The sequence below is a fragment of the Homo sapiens genome, chromosome 19 (genome assembly GCF_000001405.40).
Source record: "Homo sapiens chromosome 19, GRCh38.p14 Primary Assembly".
NCBI lineage: Eukaryota > Metazoa > Chordata > Mammalia > Primates > Hominidae > Homo > Homo sapiens.
In genome coordinates, this window is record NC_000019.10 from 6,357,869 (window position 1) to 6,377,769 (window position 19,901).

Sequence of the window (19,901 nt, forward strand, 5' to 3'; positions counted from 1 at the left end):
GAGCTATTAACAATGAAGAAGGTGAAAAGCAGTTGCAATGGGGAGAAGTGAAGCTGATTAAACAAAGGGAGACAGGGAACACATCTAAGAGGACCCCGCCATCCCACGTCAGAGGCAGGGCAGGCAGGGGGTGCAGGGCAGCGTCCGGAGGAGTGAAGGAGTGGAGGAGTGGAGGAGTGGCTGCAGGGATGGTGGCAGCTGTTGTCCTGGCCCTTCTCCCCAGGGCGGGGGCAGGAGCTGCAGCCCTGGGGCAACCGGCCGGGCAGGGCCACCCACCTGACTCACAGCAGAAACTGGGACAGCAGCTGCCCTCCTACCTCCTCAATCCCAGCTGGAAATAAAAGTAAGATTCCAGACCTCTGGCCAACACCCTCTGAGCCCAAATGCCGGCTTTCCACCGTGAGGCCCTGCCTGCCAGCGCTGGCTGCCATGTGGGCTTTCTGCTTTGCGGACCTGCAAGGTATTCTCCTAACTCTGTCACCTTCAACTCCCTCCCTCTGTCTTACTCCTGATTCTACAAAACTGGGAGTGTCTGTGTCCCCTTCTATCTCCCCATCGGACTGCAGTCCCCTCGAGGTTACAGAGGGCACAAAATTATTCTTATCTAGGGTACCCAGCATCAAGTTTAAGAGTCCAGTGTCCCAGCTACTTGGGAGGCCGAGGCAGGAGAATGGCGTGAACCTGGGAGGCGGAGCTTGCAGTGAGCCGAGACCGCACCACTGCACTCCAGCCTGGGCGACAGAGCGAGACTCCATCTCAAAAAAAAAAAAAAAAGAGTCCAGTGGCCGGGCGCAGTGGCTCACGCCTGTAATCCCAGCACTTTGGGAGGCTGAGGCGGGTGGATCACCTGAGGTCGCGAGTTCGAGACTAGCCTGACCAACATGGAGAAACCCCGTCTCTACTTAAAATACAAAATTAGCTGGGCGTGGTGGTGGGCGCCTGTAATCCCAGCTACTCGGGAGGCTAAGGCAGAAGAATTGCTTGAACCTGGGAGGCGGAGGTTGTGGTGAGCCGAGATTGTGCCATTGCACTCCAGCCTGGGCAACAAGAGCAAAACTCTGTCTCAAAAAAAAAAAAAAAAAGAGTCCAGCTGGGCATGATGGTTCATGTCTCAGCAGTTTGGAAGGCTGAGGCAGGAGGATCACTTAAGTCCAGGAGTTCAAGACCAGCCTGGGCAACATAGGGAGACCCTGTCTCTACAAAAAATTTTAAAATTAGCCAGATGTGGTGACATGCACCTCTAGTCCTAGCTACTTGGGAGGCTGAGGTGAGAGGATAGCTTGAGCCCAGAGGTTCAAGGCTGCAGTGAGCTCTGATCACACCACTGTGCTCCAGCCTGGGTGACAGAGCGAGACACTGACTCAAAACAAAAAAAGAGTCTACCGCTTACTGCTTGGTAAACTTCTTATACATCAAAATCCACTTCAGGAGTCTCTCTGAATCTGCTGTGATTTTTTTTTTTTTTTTGAGATAGAGTTTTGCTCTTGTTGCCCAGGCTGGAGTACAGTGGTGTGATCTCGGCTCTCTGCAACCTCTGCCTCCTGGGTTCAAGTGATTCTCCTGACTCAGCCTCCCAAGTAGCTGGGATTACAGGCATTCACCACCATGCCGAGATAATTTTGTATTTTTAATAGAGACGGAGTTTCACTGTGTTGGTCAGGCTGGTCTCAAACCCCTGTCCTTAGGTGATCCACATGTCTTGGGCTCCCAAAGTGCTGGGATTGCAGGCATGAGCCACCACAACACCTCGCCTGAATCTGCTGTGATTCGAAGGACTGCCCCGGGAAAAAAAAGAAAAAAACACTTCAAGTAGACTCCCATGTGGGAGGACCTGAAGACTTCTCAGACTTCCATGGTCCCTGATCTAACACAGCAATAAATCATTCAAACTGAGCACTTTTTACACATTTTTGGACCCTTTCTGAGGACTTTCTGCACAAACCTAGGAGGTAGGTTATCATTATCCCCACTCTGCAGATGCCTCCAAAGCCCTCTACCTACCTCCTTTATCACCTCTTCATCTCTTGGTTCAATGTGTATTTAATGAGCACCTACTGTGTGTCAGGCACTATTCTAGACTTTGGGGATGAAGCAGTGGGCACCTCTTAGATAGTGACATTGAACTGAATGATGAAAAAGAATCTGGCTTGAGAAGGTGTGGCAAAAAAGAGAAGTCCCAACATTACCAGCAATCTTCCTACTTCCACCATTTTGCCCATTCTTTTTCCTCTGCTGGAAATGCCTTTCCCCAGCTAACAAACTCCTACTTATCCTGCAAAGCCCAATTCCAATACCTGCTTCTCCTAGGAATGCTTTCCGGTCTGATCTCCAGGAAGAATCCACAACACCCTTCTCTGGGCTCCCACAATCTACTCCACAGGTGGCCAAAAAATGAATGAGGAGGTCTCAGTAGAAGTCGGCCACACCAGGCTGGAAGCTCTTCAAGGCCAAGACCCAGGCTAAGTCCTCTCTGGGACCCCTCTTCCAAGATGAGCTGTGGGAACACTGCAGCTTTTTTTTTTTTTTTTGAGACGGTGTCTGGCTCTGTCGCCCAGGCTGGAGTGCAGAGGCGCCATCTCAGCTCACTGCAAGCTCCACCTCCCAGGTTCACACCATTTTCCTGCCTCAGTCTCCTGAGTAGCTGGGACTACAGGTGCCCGTCACCTCGCCCGGCTAATTTTTTGTATTTTTAGTAGAGACGCGGTTTCACCGTGTTAGCCAGGATGGTTTCGATCTCCTGACCTCGTGATCCGCCCACCTCAGCCTCCCAAAGTGCTAAGATTACAGGCGTGAGCCACTGTGCCCGGCCCTGCAGCTATTTTTAAAATAAGGAATAAGTGGGGTGTGGTGGCTCATGCCTGTAGTCCCAGCACTTTGGGAGGCAAAGGTGGGAGGATCACTTGAGGCCAGGAGTTTGAGACCAGCCTGGGCGACATAGTAAGACCCCATCTCTAATACATATATATATATATTTGCCAGATGTGGTAGCACACAACTGTAGTCCCAGCTACTCTGGAGAGCAAGGTGGGAGGGAGGGTTGCTTGGGCCCAGAAATTTGAGGCCACATTGAGCTAGGATGGCGCCACTGCACTCCAGCCTGGGCCACAGAGTGAGATTCTGTCTCAAAAAAATAAAAATAAATAAAGCAGAAACAGTAGAAAACGAAGACGAGGCCGGGCGCGGTGGCTCACGCCTGTAATCCCAGTACTTTGGGAGGCCGAGGTGGGAAGATCACGAGGTCAGGAGTTCAAGACCAGCCTGGCCAAGGTGAAACCCATCTCTACTAAAAATAACAAAATTAACCGGGTGCAGTGGTGTGCATCTGTAATCCCAGCTACTGGGGCAGCTGAGCCAGGAGAATGGCTTGAACCCAGAAGGCAGAGGTTGCAGTGACCCAACATCGTGCCACCGCACTCCAGCCTGGGTGACAGAGCAAGACTCCGTCTCAAAAAAAAAAAAAAAAGAAGACGAATTGGTCGGTAAGGGGACTCGAACTGGAGACTCTAAAACTTCTCCAGCCCTGCCCACTCAATTTACTTCATTGGCTCCTCCCTTTCAGGCTCCGTCCCTATCCCCGCCTCACCCTTAATGGCGCCCGCCCAGACTCCTGGAAGTGAGCGGCCTAGCGAGCGAGCTCCCAGGCGCAAAGCACGCCGGAAGCTGTAGTTCCGCCATCGGACGGAAGCCGACCGGGGCGTGCGGAGGGATGTGGCCCGGAATATTGGTAGGGGGGGCCCGGGTGGCGTCATGCAGGTACCCCGCGCTGGGGCCTCGCCTCGCCGCTCACTTTCCAGCGCAGCGGCCGCCGCAGCGGACACTCCAGAACGGCCTGGCCCTGCAGCGGTGCCTGCACGCGACGGCGACCCGGGCTCTCCCGCTCATTCCCATCGTGGTGGAGCAGACGGTACGGCGGCCGGGCGGGGACACGGTTCGGGGGCTCCGGGCTGGGTGGGGATCGGCTGGCTGCCCCGGCCCCTCACCTCCATCTTTCTACCCCCAGGGTCGCGGCGAGCGCGCCTATGACATCTACTCGCGGCTGCTGCGGGAGCGCATCGTGTGCGTCATGGGCCCGGTGAGCGCCCCGCGCCGGGACCCTCCCCAGGACTCTCCCAAGCGCCTGCCGACACTCCCTGCGCCCCTCCTTCCCTGGCCCCAGACTTTCCCTCAGGCTCCGCTCCCCTTCTAACCCCCTTCCCTCCCCTTCTGACTCCCCTCCTGGCTCCCGGTCCCCCAACCCGCTCCTCACCCCTTCTCTGCTCCTCGGCTCTTAATCTCCGACTTCCTTCCTGACACCTGGCACCGCTCCCCTCATTCCTACGCTCAAGACTCTCCCCAGCCATTCTCACCCCTTCCTTTCCTGTGTCCCTAGCCCCCTGACTCCCCCCTTCCTGTGCTCCAAACCCCCTGGGTCCTCTCCACTACTCTCTCCCCATCCCCTTCTGGGGCCTAAATTCTTCCCCATCCCTTTTACTTTGGGCTCTGGTCCCCCTTCCTGGTTCCCTGACCCATCCCCAGCCTCCCTTAAAACTCTCTCCCCACCCCGAATCTGGGGACACCCCTGCCCTCTCCACCTGCAGATCGATGACAGCGTTGCCAGCCTTGTTATCGCACAGCTCCTCTTCCTGCAATCCGAGAGCAACAAGAAGCCCATCCACATGTACATCAACAGCCCTGGTGAGCAGGGTCTTTCCTGGGTGCCAGGGGCACTCGTCAGGGCACACGGGTGACTCAGGGGACCAGAATCCCGGGTCAGGGATGTTCTCTCTCTGGGAAAGGGTGCAGAGCGTCAGAGTTCCAGAAGTGGCTTTAAACCACCAAAAGGTGCCTGTTGCTGGCTTTTGAGCCTCGGTTCACAAGTCAGGATGTGGCCTCTTTGATCCTGCACATACTGTTCTGCCAACCTGACCCGGCTGACATTTAAAAATTGGTAGATTTTAGGCCGGGCACAGTGGCTCACACCGGTAATCCCAACACTTTGGGAGGCTGAGGCGGGCGGATTGCTCGAGCTCAGGAGTTCAAGACCAGCCTGGGTAACGTAGTGAGACCCCATCTCTACAAAAAAAGTACAAAGATTAGCCGGGCAATGTGGCGTGTGCCTGTAGTCCCAGCAACTCGGAAGGCTGAGGGAGAAGGATCACTTGAGCCCAGGAGGTCGAGGCTGTAGTGAGCCCATCTCAAAAATAATCATAATTGGTAGATTTTTTCCCCCTCCCCAAAAAAAGTAGTCAATTTTGATTGAGCACTTATGATGGAGGCATTTTTTTTTTTTTTTATTGAGATGGAGTCTCGTTCTGTCACCCAGGCTGGAGTGCAGTGTTGCAATCTCAGCTCACTGCAACCTCTGCCTCCTTGGGTTCAAGCGATTCTCCAGCTTCAGCCTCTCAAGTAGCTGGGGATTACAGGCATGTGCCACCATGCCTGTCTAATTTTTTGTATTTCGTAGAGATGATGTTTCACCATGTTAGGCTGGTCTTGAACTCCTGACCTCAAGTGATCCACCCGCCTCAGCCTCCCAAAGTGCTGGGATTACAGGCATGAGCCACCACGCCTGGCCTGATTTCTAGTTTCTCTTGGAAATTTAGTAGATCTGATCCCATGGTCCACTGGCACATCTGGCAAGAGTCAGCTGACTGTAAAGCAAGCGCTCTGCCTTTTGCCTGCACCTGGGCCGTGTCACTTGTTTTTGTCACCTCCCAACCCCTGGAAGCATTTGTGTTTGTGAACCCTGCTTTAAAGAGCTGCTTCTAGACCGGACGCAGTGGCTTACGCTTGTCATTCCAGCACTTTGGGAGGCTGAAGTGGGCTGATCACTTGAGGTCAGGAGTTTGAGAGCAGCCTGGCCAACGTGGTGAAATCCCATCTCTACTAAAAATACAAAAATTAGCCGGGCATGGTGGTGTACTTGTAATCCAGCTACTCGGGAGGCTGAGGCAGGAGAATTGCATAAACCCGGGAGGTGGAGGTTGCAGTGAGCTGAGATCGCGCTACTGCACTCCAGCCTACGTGACAGTGAGACTCAGTCTCAAAAAAAAAAAAATAGCTGCTTCTGGCTGGGCATGGTGGCTCACACGTGTAATCCCAACACTTTGGGAGGATTGCTTGAGCCCAGGAGTTCGAGATCAGCCTGGGCAACATAGTGAAAGCAGTGAAACCCAGTCTTAATTTTTTTTTTTTTTTTTTGAGATGGAGTCTCGTTCTGTCGCCCAGGCTGGAGTGCGGTGGCGCTATCTCGGCTCACTGCAACCTCCGCCTCCCGGGTTCACGCCATTCTGCTGCCTCAGCCTCCGGAATAGCTGGGACTACAGGCACCCGCCACCACGCCCGGCTAATTTTTTGTATATTTAGTAGAGACGGGGTTTCACTGTGTTAGCCAGGATGGTCTTGATTTCCTGACCTTGTGATCCGCCTGCCTCAGCCTCCCAAAGTGCTGGGATTGCAGGCATGAGCCACAGCGCCCAGTCATATTAATTTTTAAAAAAGGAGGGGGGCTGCATCTGTTCCACCCTCCCCAGGTTTAGGAGATGGAATAGGGAAAGGGTCGGGGGGAGCTGGTCCAGCCCCTCACTTGCTCCCCCGCCCACAGGTGGTGTGGTGACCGCGGGCCTGGCCATCTACGACACGATGCAGTACATCCTCAACCCGATCTGCACCTGGTGCGTGGGCCAGGCCGCCAGCATGGGCTCCCTGCTTCTCGCCGCCGGCACCCCAGGCATGCGCCACTCGCTCCCCAACTCCCGTATCATGATCCACCAGCCCTCAGGAGGCGCCCGGGTGAGTGCCAGACACGCGAGCTGCTGTTGGGAATCAGGACAGGGTCTAGACAGAAGGACTGACTGGGCGGAAGTCAAGCGTGGGAGGGGATGTTTTTTTTTTTTTTTGAGATGGAGTCTCACTTTGTCGCCCAGGCTGGAGTGCAGTGGTGCGATCTCGGCTCACTGCAAGCTCCGCCTCCTGGGTTCACGCCATTCTTCTGCCTGAGCCTCCTGAGTAGCTGGGACTACAGGCGCCCGCCACCACGCTCGGCTTTTTGTATTTTTAGTGGAGACGGGGTTTCACCATGTTAGCCAGGATGGTCTCGATCTCCTGACCTCGTGATCCGCCCACATTGGCCTCCCAAAGTGCTGGAATTACAGGCGTGAGCCACCGCGCTGGGCCAGCCGGGAGTGGATGTCTTAAAATGTGCAGGCCAGGCTGGGTGTGGTGGCTCACGCCTGTAATCCTAGCACTTCGGGAGACAGAGGCGGGAGGATCACGTGAGCTCAGGAGTTCGAGGCCAGCCAGGGGAACATAATGAGACCTTGTCTCTATTAAAGAAAAAAAAAAAAAAGGCCAGGCATGGTGGCTCACGCCTGTAAATCTTGACACTTTGGGAAGCTGGAGCAGGTGGATCATTTGAGGTCAGGAATTCTAAACCAGCCTGGCCAACATGATGAAACCCCGTCTCTACTAAAAATACAAAAATTAGCTGGGCATGGTGGTGCGTGCCCATAATCCCAGCTGTTTTGGGAGGCTGAGATAGGAGAATCACTTGAACCCAGGAGGTGGAAGTGAGCTGAGATTGCGCCACTGCACTCAAGCCTGGATGACAGAGCAAGACTCTGTCTCAAAACAACAAAGGGAAAAAAAGAAAATGCACTGAGGAGTTGTTTGCTGTCTCTTGAGAATTAGCTTCAGCTGGGCACAGTGGCTCACATCTGTAATCCCAGCACTTTGGGAGGCCAAGGCAGGAGGATCACTTGAGGCCAAGAGTTTAAGACCAGCCTGGGCAATGGTGAGACCCCATCTCTACCAAATATTTAAAATGACTCGGGCATGGTTATGCTTGCCTCTGGTCCCAGCTACTCAGGAGGCTGAGGTGGGAGGATTGCTTGAGCCTGTGAGGTGAAGGCTGCAATGAGCTGTCTTGTACCACTGCATTCCAGCCCCAGCAACAGAGGAAGACCCTGTCTCAAAAAAAAAAAAAGGCGGCCAGGCATGGTGGCTCATGCCTGTAATCCCAGCACTTTGGGAGGCCGAGACAGGAGGATCACTTGAGGCCGGGAGTTTGAGACCAGTCTGGGCAACATAGCAAGACCCCATCTCTAAAAAAAAAAAACAAAAAACAAACAAAAAAAAGGCTTAGCTAATGCTGAGACAGAGAGACACTGTTCCTCCCAGTCTGCAAGGCTTCAGATGCAGAAAATAACATATACTTAATCCAGTCAGAAAGCCTTCCTGGTAGTGGCAAGACTGAAGCAGGATATCGGGGGATTTACACAACCCCAGCCCACCAGCCTCAAACCGGAAGCCCAAAGCCCAGGGAAGCTCCTGAGTGCCACCTCCAGCCTCCCTGTGAGGGGCTGACGCCGATACCAACCTTTACCCCCTCACTCCCTTGGACGTCCCTCAGGGCCAAGCCACAGACATTGCCATCCAGGCAGAGGAGATCATGAAGCTCAAGAAGCAGCTCTATAACATCTACGCCAAGCACACCAAACAGAGCCTGCAGGTGATCGGTAAGCACCCTCCTTTATTTCATCCTGGTCCGTGCACAGACGGACCAGGCGTTGCTCTAAGCCAGGGCTTCTCCACCTGGCCCCTGCGGACTTTCAGGGCTGGATCGTTCTCTGGGATGGGGGGACCATCCCAGAGGTCAGCCTGGCCAACATGGTGAAATCCCATCTCTACTAAAAATACTAAAAATGGTGTACTTGTAATCCAGTTACTCGGGAGGCTGAGGCAGGAGAATCTGTGGAATATGAGAGTTTGAGGTTACAGTGAGCTAATTTTTTTGTTTGTTTGTTTTTTTGAGACAAGGTCTGGCTCTGTCGCTCAGGCTGGAATGCAGTGGCATGATCTCGGCTCATTGCAACCTCTGCCTCCTGGGCTCAAGCAATTCTCCTGCCTCAGCCTCCTCAGTAGCTGGGACTACAGGGATGCACCACCATGCCTGGCTAATTTTTTGTAGAGACGTGGTTTCACCATGTTGCCCAGGCTGGTCTCAAACTCGTGAGCTCAAGTGATCCAGCTGCCTCAGCCTCCCAAAGTTCTGGGATTACAAGTGTGAGCCACCACGCCCAGCCATAATTTTATTAAAATCAAAAAGTGAGGCCAGGTGTGGTGGCTCACACCTGTAATCCCAGCACTTTGGGAGGCTGAAGTGGGAGGATCACTTGAGTTCAGGAGTTCAAGACCAGCCTGGGCAATATAGTGAAACCCCATTTCATAGAAAAGAAAAAAAAATTTTAGCTGGGCACCATGGCTCACGCCTGTAGTACCAGCACTTTGGGAGGCCGAGGTGGGCGGATCACGAGGTCAGGAGTTCAAGACCAGCCTGACCAACATGGTGAAACCCCGTCTCTACCAAAAATACAAAAACTAGCCAGGTGTGTTGGCACACGCCTGTAATCCCAGCTACTGAGGAGGCTGAGGCATGAGAATCGCTTGAACCTGAGAGGCGGAGGTTGTAGTGAGTCGAGATTGCACCACTGCACTCCAGCCTGGGTGACAAAGTGAGACCCTGTCTCAAAAAAAAAAAAAAAAAAAAAGTGAATGTTCCACAGCATCACAGATGAATTTTGCAAATATGTTGCATGAAAGAAGAATAAACACTCTGTGATTCCATTTATTTAAACTATAAAAACAAGGAGAGCTAATTTATGCTGTTAGAGGAGTGGTTGCTTTGGGGTATGGGGAGGGGGTGGCAAGGATTAGTGACTGTCGTGGGCCCAAGTGGGGTTTCAGGGGTGCTGGCATTATTCCATCTCTTGGTCTGGGTGCTGGTCCTGTAGGGTATGTTCAGTCTGAAAATCCATCCCACCAGACATTTACGAATCATGCCCTTTCCTGGGTGTATATTATACATCAATAACAATTTTTTTTTTTTTTTGAGATGGAGTCTTGCTTTGTTGCCCAGGCTGGAGTGCAGTGGTGCAGTCTCCACCTCCCAGATTTAAGTGATTCTCATACCTCAGCCTCCCTAGTAGCTGGGATTACAGGCGTGTGCCACCACACCTGGCTCATTTTTGTATTTTTAGTAGAGACAGGGTTTCACCATGTTGGCCATGGTGAAACTTTGAAGGCCAATGGTGAAACATGAGGCCAAACTCCTGGCCTCAAGTGGTCCACCCACCTCTGCCTCCCAAAGTGCTGGGATTACAAGTGTGAGCCACCGTGCCTGGCCCAATAACAATTTTTTAAAAAACAAAATTGAAATTGGTATTTTACTGATACCTAGGGGAAACTGAGGCACTGCAGAATGAGGACATGTCTCAGTCAGCTTGAGCTGCTTAACAAAACACCACAGACCTCAACAGAGATTTATGTCTCACAGTTCTGGGGGCTGGGAAGTCCAAGGTCAGGGTGCCAGCTGATTCGGTTCTTGGTGAGTGCTCTCTTCCTGGCTTGCAGACGGCCGCCTTCTCGCTGTGTCTTCACATGGTGGAGAGAGAGCAAGTGCACTGGTGTCTCCTCTTATAAGGCCACTAATCCCATCAAGGGGCCCCTGACCCCATCTCTCCTAATGACTTCCCAAGGACCCCATCTCCAAATCCCATCCCACTAGGGGATGGGGCTTCAACATATGAACTTGGGGTGGTGGGCACAAACATTCAGGCCAAAACAGGACCCAGACCTGGCCCTGGGTCTCTGCTCTTACCCTAATGTGTCTCACCTCCTGCTTCCCCACCAGAGTCCGCCATGGAGAGGGACCGCTACATGAGCCCCATGGAGGCCCAGGAGTTTGGCATCTTAGACAAGGTTCTGGTCCACCCTCCCCAGGACGGTGAGGATGAGCCCACGCTGGTGCAGAAGGAGCCTGTAGAAGCAGCGCCGGCAGCAGAACCTGTCCCAGCTAGCACCTGAGAGCTGGGCCTCCTCTCCAGAATCATGTGGAGGGGCCAGAGGCCTGCCAGACCCCCAGCTGGGCCCTGCTCACCCCTTGTTGCTGGGCTTGGAGGGGCCTCTTGAGGAACTTTTAATTTGCAGGGGTGCCCGCTATGGACGGGGCATTCCAGCTGAGACACTGTGATTTTAAATTAAATCTTTGTGGTCTTTGCTCTGCGTCTGGGACACCCTCCCTTCTGCACCATGACAGCGTGTACACATCTGTGTTTCACAGGCCCCTTCTGCTTTTGTCCTGACCCCAAGAGGCAAGCCATGTCTTCCTTCAACAGATTCTCCTGATCATATCCTATATTCCAGGCAGTGTTCTTTTGTGAAGAAGACACAAGAAACCCTCCTCAAAAGAGCTCCATTCTTGTGGCAGTAGACAGTTACTAAAAAAAACAAAACAGGCCAGGCGCGCTGGCTCACGCCTGTAATCCCAGCACTTTGGGAGCCCGAGGCAGGCGGATCATGAGGTCAGGAGATCGAGAACATCCTGGCTAACATGGTGAAACCCCATTTCTACTAAAAATACAAAAATTAGCCGAGCGTGGTGCACCTGTAATCCCAGCTACTCCGGAGGCTGAGGCAGAAGAATTGCTTGAACTTAGGAGGTGGAGGTTGCAGTGAGCAGGATCACGCCACTGCCCTTTAGCCTGGGCAACAGAGCAAGGCTCTGTCTCAAAAAAAAAAAAAAACAAAAACAGGAAAGGTGGCATGCAAGTGTGAGGGTAAGCGTGTTACAGTTTTTTATGGGGTAATCAGGGAAGCCCTCACTGAGAAGGTGGTGGTTGAGCAAAGCCTCAAAGGAGGTGAGGGGTGGAGCCTGTGTCCAGGCAGAGGGCACAGCCAGTGCAAAGGCCCTGTGACAGGACTGTACCTGGCATGTGAGGACCTATGAGGAGGCCCGTGGCTGAGGGAAGGTGGAAGAGAGGAGATCAAAAAGTAGAGGTGAAAATTAGCCAGGCGTGATGGTGCACTTGAACCCGGGAGGCAGAGGTTGCAGTGAGCCAAGATCACGCCACTGCACTCCAGCCTGGGCAACAAAGCGAGATTCTGTCTCCAAAAAAAAAAAAGTGGAGGTGATTGAGAATAGATCATAAAAGGCCTGACATCTAAAAGGAGGGATGTGAACCATGGAGGGTTTTGAGAAGAGGAAGGAAAATAAGGATGACTATGACTCCTGAGGAGTGCACCATGAGCAGAAACTGGAGAGCAGTTAGGATAGTTGGAGTAATCTAGACGAAAGCTGATGGCAGCCCTGGCCGAGTGATGAGAAAAAGTCAGATTCTAGCTAGGTGGGATGTGACAGAGAGCAGTTTCCAGAAACTCCGAGCTGATGGCCCAAAGCAGGAAGATGGAGACCTGTCGCCTGAGATGGGAAGTGTAGGCAAAGGAACAGGCTTGGGGAGGGATCAGGAGTTGATTTTGGATATATTATACCTGATGTTTTGATATGTCCCTCGACATCAGGGTCAAGAGGTTGAAATAAAAACGTAGGTGTCATCGGCCGGGCGCGGTGGCTCACGCCTGTAATCCCAGCACTCTGGGAGACCGAGGCGGGCGGATCACGAGGTCAGGAGATCAAGACCATCCTGGCTAACAGTGAAACCCCGTGTCTACTAAAAATACAAAAAATTAGCTGGGCGTGGTGGCAGGCGCCTGTAGTCCCAGCTACTCGGGAGGCTGAGGCGGCAGAATGGCGTGAACCTGGGAAGCGGAGCTTGCAGTGAGCGGAGCTTGCAGTGAGCGGAGATCGCGCCACTGCACTCCAGCCTGGGCGACAAAGCGAGACTCTGTCTCAAAAAAAACAAAATGTAGGCGGCATCAGCATGTAGGCTCATTAACAGTCAGACTGAGACCTGGCTATTGGATTCGGCATTGTGGATGTCACTGGTGGCCTTAAATCAGGCCTTTTCTGGTGCTGTGGGAGCCAAAAGCCAGGCTGGAGTGGATCCAGAAAGGATAGGAGGAAACATATCAGACATAGACAAGTCTTTCGAGGAATTACACTATCAAGGGGAGCAGAGGGTGGGGGGGCAGATGTAGCTGGAGGGAGAAATGGGGTCAATATTTTTCAAAATGCAAGCATTCGGGCCGGGGTCGGGGGGGCGCTACGCTCAGCAGTTACAGTGTTGCAGTTTGCATTATGCACATTTAAAATACATACAAAAGTACCCAGAGCTTTGAGAGGCTGAGGGGAGAGGATCACCTGAGCCCAAGAGTTCCAGGCTGCAGTGAGCTATGATCGTGCCCTTGCACTCCAGCCTGGGCAATAGAGGGAGAAAATAATAAAATAAAGGCCGGGCATGGTGGCTCAGGCCTATAATCCCAGCACTTTGGGAGGCCGAGGCAGACGGGTCACCTGAGATCAGGAGTTTGAGATCAGCCTGGCCAATGTGGTGAAACCCTGTCTCTACTAAAAATACAAAAAATTAGCCGGGCGTGGTGGCAGGCGCCTGTAGTCCCAGCTACTCGGGAGGCTGAGGCAGGAGAATGGTGTGAACCCGGGAGGCAGAGCTTGCAGTGAGCCAAGATCCCGCCACTGCACTTCAGCCTGGGTGACAGAGCGAGACTGTGTGTCAAAAAAAAAAAAACCCAAAAACCAAAAAAATAAAAAACAAAAATTAGTTGGGCGTGGTGGCAGCTTCCCGTAATCCCAGCTACTCGGGAGGCTGAGGCAGGAGAATCGCTTGAACCCGGAAGGCAGAGGTTGCAGTGAGCCAAGACCGCACCATTGCACTCCAGCCTGAGTGACAAGAGCGAAATTCGGTCTCAAAAACAAACAAAACAAAAAAGCTGGGCATGATGGTTCGTTGCCTGTAATCCCAGCTACTCGGGAGGCTGAGGCATGAGAATCACTTAAACCCCAGAGGCAGCGGTTGCAAATCTTCAGGGCCTGAGATCGTGCCACTGCGCTCCAGGTTGGGCGACAGAGTGAGACTCTGTCTCAAAAATAAACAAATAAAAATAAATATAAACAAAAGTAGAGAAAACAGGGTAATGAGACCCCACGTACTTATCACACCAATTCAACAATTAATTCACGGTCAAAGATGATTCTTCCCTACCCGCCCCCTCCCTGCCCCCACAGCCTGGATTTATGTGGAAGCAAATCCCAGAGATCTTTTTTCTGTAAATATTTTTTTTTCAGTTTGCGTTTGTAAAAAACGATGACTCTTTTTTTTTTTTTTGAGACAATGTTTTGCTGTGTCGCCCAGGCTGGAGTGCAGTGGCGGGATCTCTGTTCACTGCAACCTCCGCCTCCTGGGTTCAAGCAATTCTCCTGCCTCAGCCTCCTGAGTCGCTGGGATTACAGGCACGCGCGCCACCAAGCTCGGCTCATTTTTTGTATTTTCAGTAGAGACGGGTTTTCACCATGCTGGCCAGGCTGGTCTCGAACTCCTGACCTCAGGTGATCCACCCGCCTCGGCCTCCCGAAGTGCTGGGATTACAGGCGTGAGCCACCACGCCCGGCCGAGGAATCAAAAAGACAACCATAATGCCATTTTCAAACCTAAAGTAATAGTGATACGGAGACGGGGAAATGAATGATACCTCGCTCTGACCTTTGACCATAAGCCCTAACTCTGGATAGCTGGCCCCACCACACACATAATCGTGGCCTTGACGTCAGTCCCCTGACCCCGGACCCTTATCTCGGCCTGACTGTACTCTGCCCTTAACCTCTAGCCCTAGTCGACTCCATAACCGTGGCCTTGGCCCCAGTCCCCCTGACTTCCGGACTTCAGACCAGATACTGCCCATATCCCCTTATGAAGTCTTGGCCAGGCAACCCCTAGGGTGTACGTTTTCTAATGATTAAAGAGGCGGTGCTAAGCTGCAGACGGACTTGCGACTCAGCCACTGGTGTAAGTCAGGCGGGAGGTGGCGCCCAATAAGCTCAAGAGAGGAGGCGGGTTCTGGAAAAAGGCCAATAGCCTGTGAAGGCGAGTCTAGCAGCAACCAATAGCTATGAGCGAGAGGCGGGACTCTGAGGGAAGTCAATCGCTGCCGCAGGTACCGCCAATGGCTTTTGGCGGGGGCGTTCCCCAACCCTGCCCTCTCTCATGACCCCGCTCCGGGATTATGGCCGGGACTGGGCTGCTGGCGCTGCGGACGCTGCCAGGGCCCAGCTGGGTGCGAGGCTCGGGCCCTTCCGTGCTGAGCCGCCTGCAGGACGCGGCCGTGGTGCGGCCTGGCTTCCTGAGCACGGCAGAGGAGGAGACGCTGAGCCGAGAACTGGAGCCCGAGCTGCGCCGCCGCCGCTACGAATACGATCACTGGGACGCGGTGAGACCGGCAGCGCCGGGGGCGAGGGACGGGGGCTCGTCGGGGGCGCGGCCTGGGGACGTGGAGCATCAGATGGGGCGGGGACACGCTGGGGGCGGTACCTAGAGCGGGGATTTGGAGCGGGGACAGAGGAGACGAGCGCCGGGACCGGGCAGGGCCACACTGGGGGCGGTTACAGTACCGTTTAGCGTGGGGGCGGGGCTACGGTGCTGGGGTTGTGGGGCCAGGGGGGTCGGGCGCAGGGATGGGGCGGGGCCACGCTGGGGCGGGGACAAAGGAGACAGCGCAGGGATGGGGCGGGGGCACTCTGGGGGCGGGACAGGAGGCGAGCGTAGGGACGGGGCGTGGCCACGCTGGGGGCGGGGACAGTGGGGACCAGTGCTGGGATGGGGCGTGGCCACGCTTGGGGGCGGTTACAGCGCAGTCGAGCGTGGGGGTGGGGCCAGGGAGTCGGGTGTAGGGTTGGGGTGCGATTACGCTGCTAGCAGTTACAGTGCAGAAGAACGTGGCGGCTGGGATTGGGGCGTGGTCAGGTCGTCGAGCGCATGGATGGGGCGGGGCCAAGCTTGGGGCGGGGTCCGTGGAGTCAAGCGCCGGGATGGGTTGGGGCCATGCTGTGGGGGGGACGGGGAAGTCGAGGTTTAGAGAGGGCAGAACCACGCTGGGGGCGGAGATAGGGGAGACACATGCTGGGATGGGGCAGGGCCTTTTTGGGGTCGGTAGCTATTGCAGGGATTTGGGAGCTGGGCTATGGTGGGGGCTGGGCTGAAACTCTGGCTGTGGGAGGGGCGGGACCTGGGGGATGAGGACCTTGGGGTCAGGGAGAGCACTTTTGCGACCTGGGACCAAGGTTAGGGGCGGAAACGGATGTGGAGCCAGATGATGTTGAGAGACAGAGACAGGACACTTGGGTGGGGTCAAGTTGTAGGGAGATTCAGCCAATTGAATGCTGGGGCCGGGCCAGCATTGGGGACCTGGAATTGTAGCCTCAGGGTGAGTACTAAGGACTGAGGTCACACCTAGGTAGGGCCATAGTTGAGGGGCTAGGGGAGTTTGAGTTGAGGGCAGGGTCAAGAGTCACATAGGGAAACCAGCCCCTTGCCGTTTTCTGCCCCTCCTTGCCTCAGTTTCCTTGTTCCCTCTGGGAGCTCCCAGGCTTAACCGAGCTCTCTGTGCAGGCCATCCACGGCTTCCGAGAGACAGAGAAGTCGCGCTGGTCAGAAGCCAGCCGGGCCATCCTGCAGCGCGTGCAGGCGGCCGCCTTTGGCCCCGGCCAGACCCTGCTCTCCTCCGTGCACGTGCTGGACCTGGAAGCCCGCGGCTACATCAAGCCCCACGTGGACAGCATCAAGGTGGGCAGAGGACGGTGCCTTGGCACTCCCAGCCAGGGGGTAGGCAGGCCCGGTTAGATCCTGACCCATCCCCACGCCTCTTTTGCAGTTCTGCGGGGCCACCATCGCCGGCCTGTCTCTCCTGTCTCCCAGCGTTATGCGGCTGGTGCACACCCAGGAGCCGGGGGAGTGGCTGGAACTCTTGCTGGAGCCGGGCTCCCTCTACATCCTTAGGTACCTCCATCCAGGCAGCACCCACCCCTCCAAGAATGTGCCATCCGCCCACCCTGTGCCCTGGGTACTTTCCCTCAATCCAGCCCTCCCCGAAGACGCCTTTACCCCAGGGTCTGTGTGGGAGGCAGCAGGGGGCTGGAATCCAGGAGGCTGGAATCCAGGTCTGCCTGGAGCAGGGGCTGCCCTCCTTGCACCCAGTCACAGCCTGTTTCTTCCTGCAGGGGCTCAGCCCGTTATGACTTCTCCCATGAGATCCTTCGGGATGAAGAGTCCTTCTTTGGGGAACGCCGGATTCCCCGGGGCCGGCGCATCTCCGTGATCTGCCGCTCCCTCCCTGAGGGCATGGGGCCAGGGGAGTCTGGACAGCCGCCCCCAGCCTGCTGACCCCCAGCTTTCTACAGACACCAGATTTGTGAATAAAGTTGGGGAATGGACAGCCTAACTGGGACATTGCAGTGGCTGCTTGCTGGGGCCGGGATTTGCAGGGGAACCCAGGATGGCACTGGCCCATAGGGAGCTCCAGGTGTGGCTGGCTGGACACATGGTCAAAGTCACAAGGCCGGGAGAGTGGTGTCCTTTATTGCACTCACTGCTGGTCGCCCCAGCCCACTCCCCTCCTCGTTGTCTCTGCATCCAGGTCTCCAATAAATAAGTCAGCCGAGCTCCCCCAGCACTGCAGCTTCTGGGTGCCAGGCCGGGCACCCTCAGCCACCACAGCCGCAGGCAGCCGCCGAGAGCTGGGGCAGCCGCTGCCAGCGGTGGCGGTCATCGAGGAAGGCCACGTCGGTGTAGCGAGTGGGCCGGCAGCAGGGCCCGCCGTGGGCTCGGCCCTGGCCCTGCAGCCGGGCCAGCGCCAGGCCATGCTGGGTGCGGGCACCACGGGGGCAGCTGCCGGCGCAGTAGCGGAAGATGACCTTCTCCTCTGAGGCGTAGCCCAGGCCTAGCTCTGCCACGGACAGGGTCAGGCTCCACAGCTGGCATGGACCAGACAGGGCTCGGCGCAGGCGGGCAAGGGGGCGGTGGGTGCCTGTGGGAGGGAAGGGCGCTGACAGTGAGCAGGGTCAGGGCTGGGGAAAGTTGGGAAGTCACAGAGGGTCCCTGGAAGTCCTTACCCAGCCAGGTCCCTCCAGCCTTTGCCACCTGTTCAGACGAGAACTCTCCATCGGCCACGGGAACCCCACGGGCATCGGGGCCCCAGCCCTGTCCCAGCTGCAGGGACAGGAGCAGCAGGGAGCCCAGCAGGAACTTCCCTACGGCCATTGTGACGGGCAGGTCCTGAGAGTGGGAGCTGTGCCCCAAATTTATGCCCTGCCTGGGCTGGGAGCTAACCTCTTCACTGCCGGCCCCTGCAGCCAGGAGGCCCCACGTCTGCACCAGCCCATCTCCTGCACCCTCGAATCCAGGCATCTGCTCCTTCTGCCCCACACCCCACCCTTCTAAGAGTTAAGGGCTCACCCCCAGCCTACCCCACCCCGACATTCCACACAGCCATTTCCGACGCCCCAGACACCCCCTGATTTACGAGTGCTGTGCTGGCGGCCAGGGCAGGCAACTGGTGTTCCCCCGACCTGCTGCCTGGAGTGGAAGTCAGGGGGCTTCATGGGACCCCGGTGGGGTCCCTCCCCACTAAGTCAGGGTGCTGGGGCTCAGGAGCCCCCACGTGTATCATGTGCCAGGTGGAGCATATGTGAGTGCTGGGAAAGGTGGCTTGGCAGGGGACTGAGTCCACGGGAACCCTCCATGGTGGCTCCCGCCTGGAGGATTAGGACATCATGCCCCTGTCTCCGGGCCTGGCTGAGCCAGCATCAAAACAGGAAAAGGGAGAGGCCTGGGGACAGCCAAGGGTGGGGACACAAGGGGACAGGGACGCCTGTCTCGGGAAGGCCAACCTGAGACCCCTATAACTGCAGCCCCATCCTGGGATCTGAGCATGTCAGAGCCCCCGGGGCGATGGAGGCTGTCCAGGTCATGGTAACGTCTAGCACGATGCAGACAGATAAGGGCTCTCGAGGCTTCCATACCCAGCCCCGTGTGAGCCCAGTCCCCTCACCGGTACAGGGGAGCTCCTCAGAACCCCTCCTACTCGGCTTGGTGAGGAAAGAGATGGGCACTTAGAGTGTAAGGCAGTGCCCGTAGCTTCGAATGCAAAAACAAGCAAACAGCTTGTGATTGTCCGAAGGGGTGCTTGACTCTAAGCACCCACAAGATTGGGGAAAATCAGAAAACCCTCACACACAACCCGTGTGACCCAGGTGCACCCTGTGCTGTTGGTGGGGGTGTAAATTGCTAGCAGCTCTTTGGATGAGCAGCTGCTACTGGGGAATTGTAAATTACACCCTCTGCCCCAGGAGCCCTGTTTGCGGGGTTCCTCCCACACAGGCAAGTGAAACAGCCAGCACAGGGACATCTGATGCCTTCTTCATATTAGGAAAGTCTGGAAGTGGCCTCAACTCCATCCGTGAGGGATTGCTTCGATGATTATGTTGTGGTTTTTCTTACTGAAGTGCTTATTGAGATGATAATTTTCCGATGGAAAGAAAAGCCTGGGCTTGGCGTGGTGGCTCATGCCTCGGGAGGCTGAGGCGGGTGGATTACCTGAGGTCAGGAGTTTGAGACCAGCTTGACCAACATGGTGAAATCCATCTCTATTAAAAATACAAAAATTAGCTGGGCATGGTGGTGGGCGCCTGTAATCCCAGCTACTCGGGAGGCTGAGGCAGGAGAATTGCTTGAACCTGAGAGGTGGAGGTTGCAGTGAGCTGAGATTGTGCCATTGCACTCAAACCTGGGCGACAGAGCGATACTGTCTCAAAAAAGCCTGGCGGGGCCCAGTGGCTCATGCCTATAATCCCAGCACTTTGGGAGGGTGAGGTGGGAGGATCACTTGAGGTCGGGAGTTTGAGACCAGCCAGGCCAACATGGTGAATCCCTGTCTCTAACGAAAATACAAAAATTAGGCGAGGCACAGTGGCTCACGCCTGTAATCCCAGCACTTTGGGAGGCCGAGGTGGGCAGATCACCTGAGGTCAGTTCAAGACCAGCCTGGTCAACATGGTGAAACTCCGTCTCTATTAAAAAATTAGCTGGGTGTAGTCCCAGCTACTCGGGAGGCTGAGGCAGGAGAATCGCTTGGAACCCAGGAGGCAGAGGCTGCAGTGAGCCAAGATTGCACCACTGCAC

At 55.3% G+C, this 19,901-nt stretch overlaps 4 protein-coding genes across 6 annotated transcripts in view, besides 5 other annotated features; 2 read left to right on the plus strand and 2 right to left on the minus strand.

The window, feature by feature from the left end:
• Window positions 1-2,500, minus strand: part of ACER1 (alkaline ceramidase 1) — a 54,227-nt gene extending 51,727 nt beyond the window's left edge. Inside the window, exon 1 of the mRNA XM_011527673.3 lies at window positions 2,295-2,500. The gene's annotated coding sequence lies outside the window, so the exon portion shown is untranslated. The remainder of the gene's footprint in view (window positions 1-2,294) is intronic.
• CLPP (caseinolytic mitochondrial matrix peptidase proteolytic subunit) lies at window positions 3,663-12,374 on the plus strand. 2 transcript variants are annotated; one of them, NM_006012.4, is made up of 6 exons: window positions 3,663-3,904; window positions 4,001-4,072; window positions 4,578-4,674; window positions 6,584-6,771; window positions 8,390-8,495; window positions 10,670-12,374. In NM_006012.4, the coding sequence occupies exons 1-6, from the start codon at window positions 3,707-3,709 to the stop codon at window positions 10,840-10,842; spliced, it is 834 nt and encodes a 277-aa protein (NP_006003.1). In that variant the 5' UTR covers window positions 3,663-3,706; the 3' UTR covers window positions 10,843-12,374. The 2 variants fall into 2 exon arrangements, with proteins under 2 accessions (NP_006003.1, XP_047295442.1); XM_047439486.1 differs by having other exon boundaries at window positions 3,663-4,072.
• Window positions 3,910-4,139: a silencer, noted in NCBI's record as "silent region_9948". NCBI's record gives its function as "represses an Ori minimal core promoter by ATAC-STARR-seq in GM12878 lymphoblastoid cells {active_cell/tissue: GM12878}" and the evidence as "EXISTENCE:reporter gene assay evidence [ECO:0000049][PMID:35858748]".
• Window positions 4,338-5,295: an enhancer, noted in NCBI's record as "H3K27ac-H3K4me1 hESC enhancer chr19:6362217-6363174 (GRCh37/hg19 assembly coordinates)". NCBI's record gives its function as "activates a minimal SCP1, AML or CMV promoter by ChIP-STARR-seq in naive H9 embryonic stem cells {active_cell/tissue: H9 hESC(naive)}" and the evidence as "EXISTENCE:reporter gene assay evidence [ECO:0000049][PMID:30033119]".
• Window positions 14,658-15,580: an enhancer, noted in NCBI's record as "H3K27ac-H3K4me1 hESC enhancer chr19:6372537-6373459 (GRCh37/hg19 assembly coordinates)". NCBI's record gives its function as "activates a minimal SCP1, AML or CMV promoter by ChIP-STARR-seq in naive H9 embryonic stem cells {active_cell/tissue: H9 hESC(naive)}" and the evidence as "EXISTENCE:reporter gene assay evidence [ECO:0000049][PMID:30033119]".
• Window positions 14,658-15,649: a biological region, named in NCBI's record as "H3K27ac-H3K4me1 hESC enhancer GRCh37_chr19:6372537-6373459".
• On the plus strand, window positions 14,926-17,382 carry ALKBH7 (alkB homolog 7). Of its 2 annotated transcripts, none has more exons than NM_032306.4 (4): window positions 14,926-15,156; window positions 16,335-16,508; window positions 16,597-16,721; window positions 16,943-17,382. In NM_032306.4, the coding sequence occupies exons 1-4, from the start codon at window positions 14,953-14,955 to the stop codon at window positions 17,103-17,105; spliced, it is 666 nt and encodes a 221-aa protein (NP_115682.1). In that variant the 5' UTR covers window positions 14,926-14,952; the 3' UTR covers window positions 17,106-17,382. The 2 variants fall into 2 exon arrangements, with proteins under 2 accessions (NP_115682.1, XP_005259715.1); XM_005259658.5 differs by lacking the exon at window positions 14,926-15,156 and adding an exon at window positions 15,937-16,149.
• Window positions 15,250-15,649: a silencer, noted in NCBI's record as "silent region_9949". NCBI's record gives its function as "represses an Ori minimal core promoter by ATAC-STARR-seq in GM12878 lymphoblastoid cells {active_cell/tissue: GM12878}" and the evidence as "EXISTENCE:reporter gene assay evidence [ECO:0000049][PMID:35858748]".
• On the minus strand, window positions 17,280-18,065 carry PSPN (persephin). The gene is made up of 2 exons (NM_004158.5): window positions 17,834-18,065; window positions 17,280-17,748 (listed from the first exon to the last, which is right to left on the minus strand). Exons 1-2 carry the CDS (start codon window positions 17,979-17,981, stop codon window positions 17,426-17,428), a joined length of 471 nt encoding a protein of 156 aa, NP_004149.1. The 5' UTR covers window positions 17,982-18,065; the 3' UTR covers window positions 17,280-17,425.
• Between the last annotated feature and the right edge of the window lie 1,836 nt (window positions 18,066-19,901).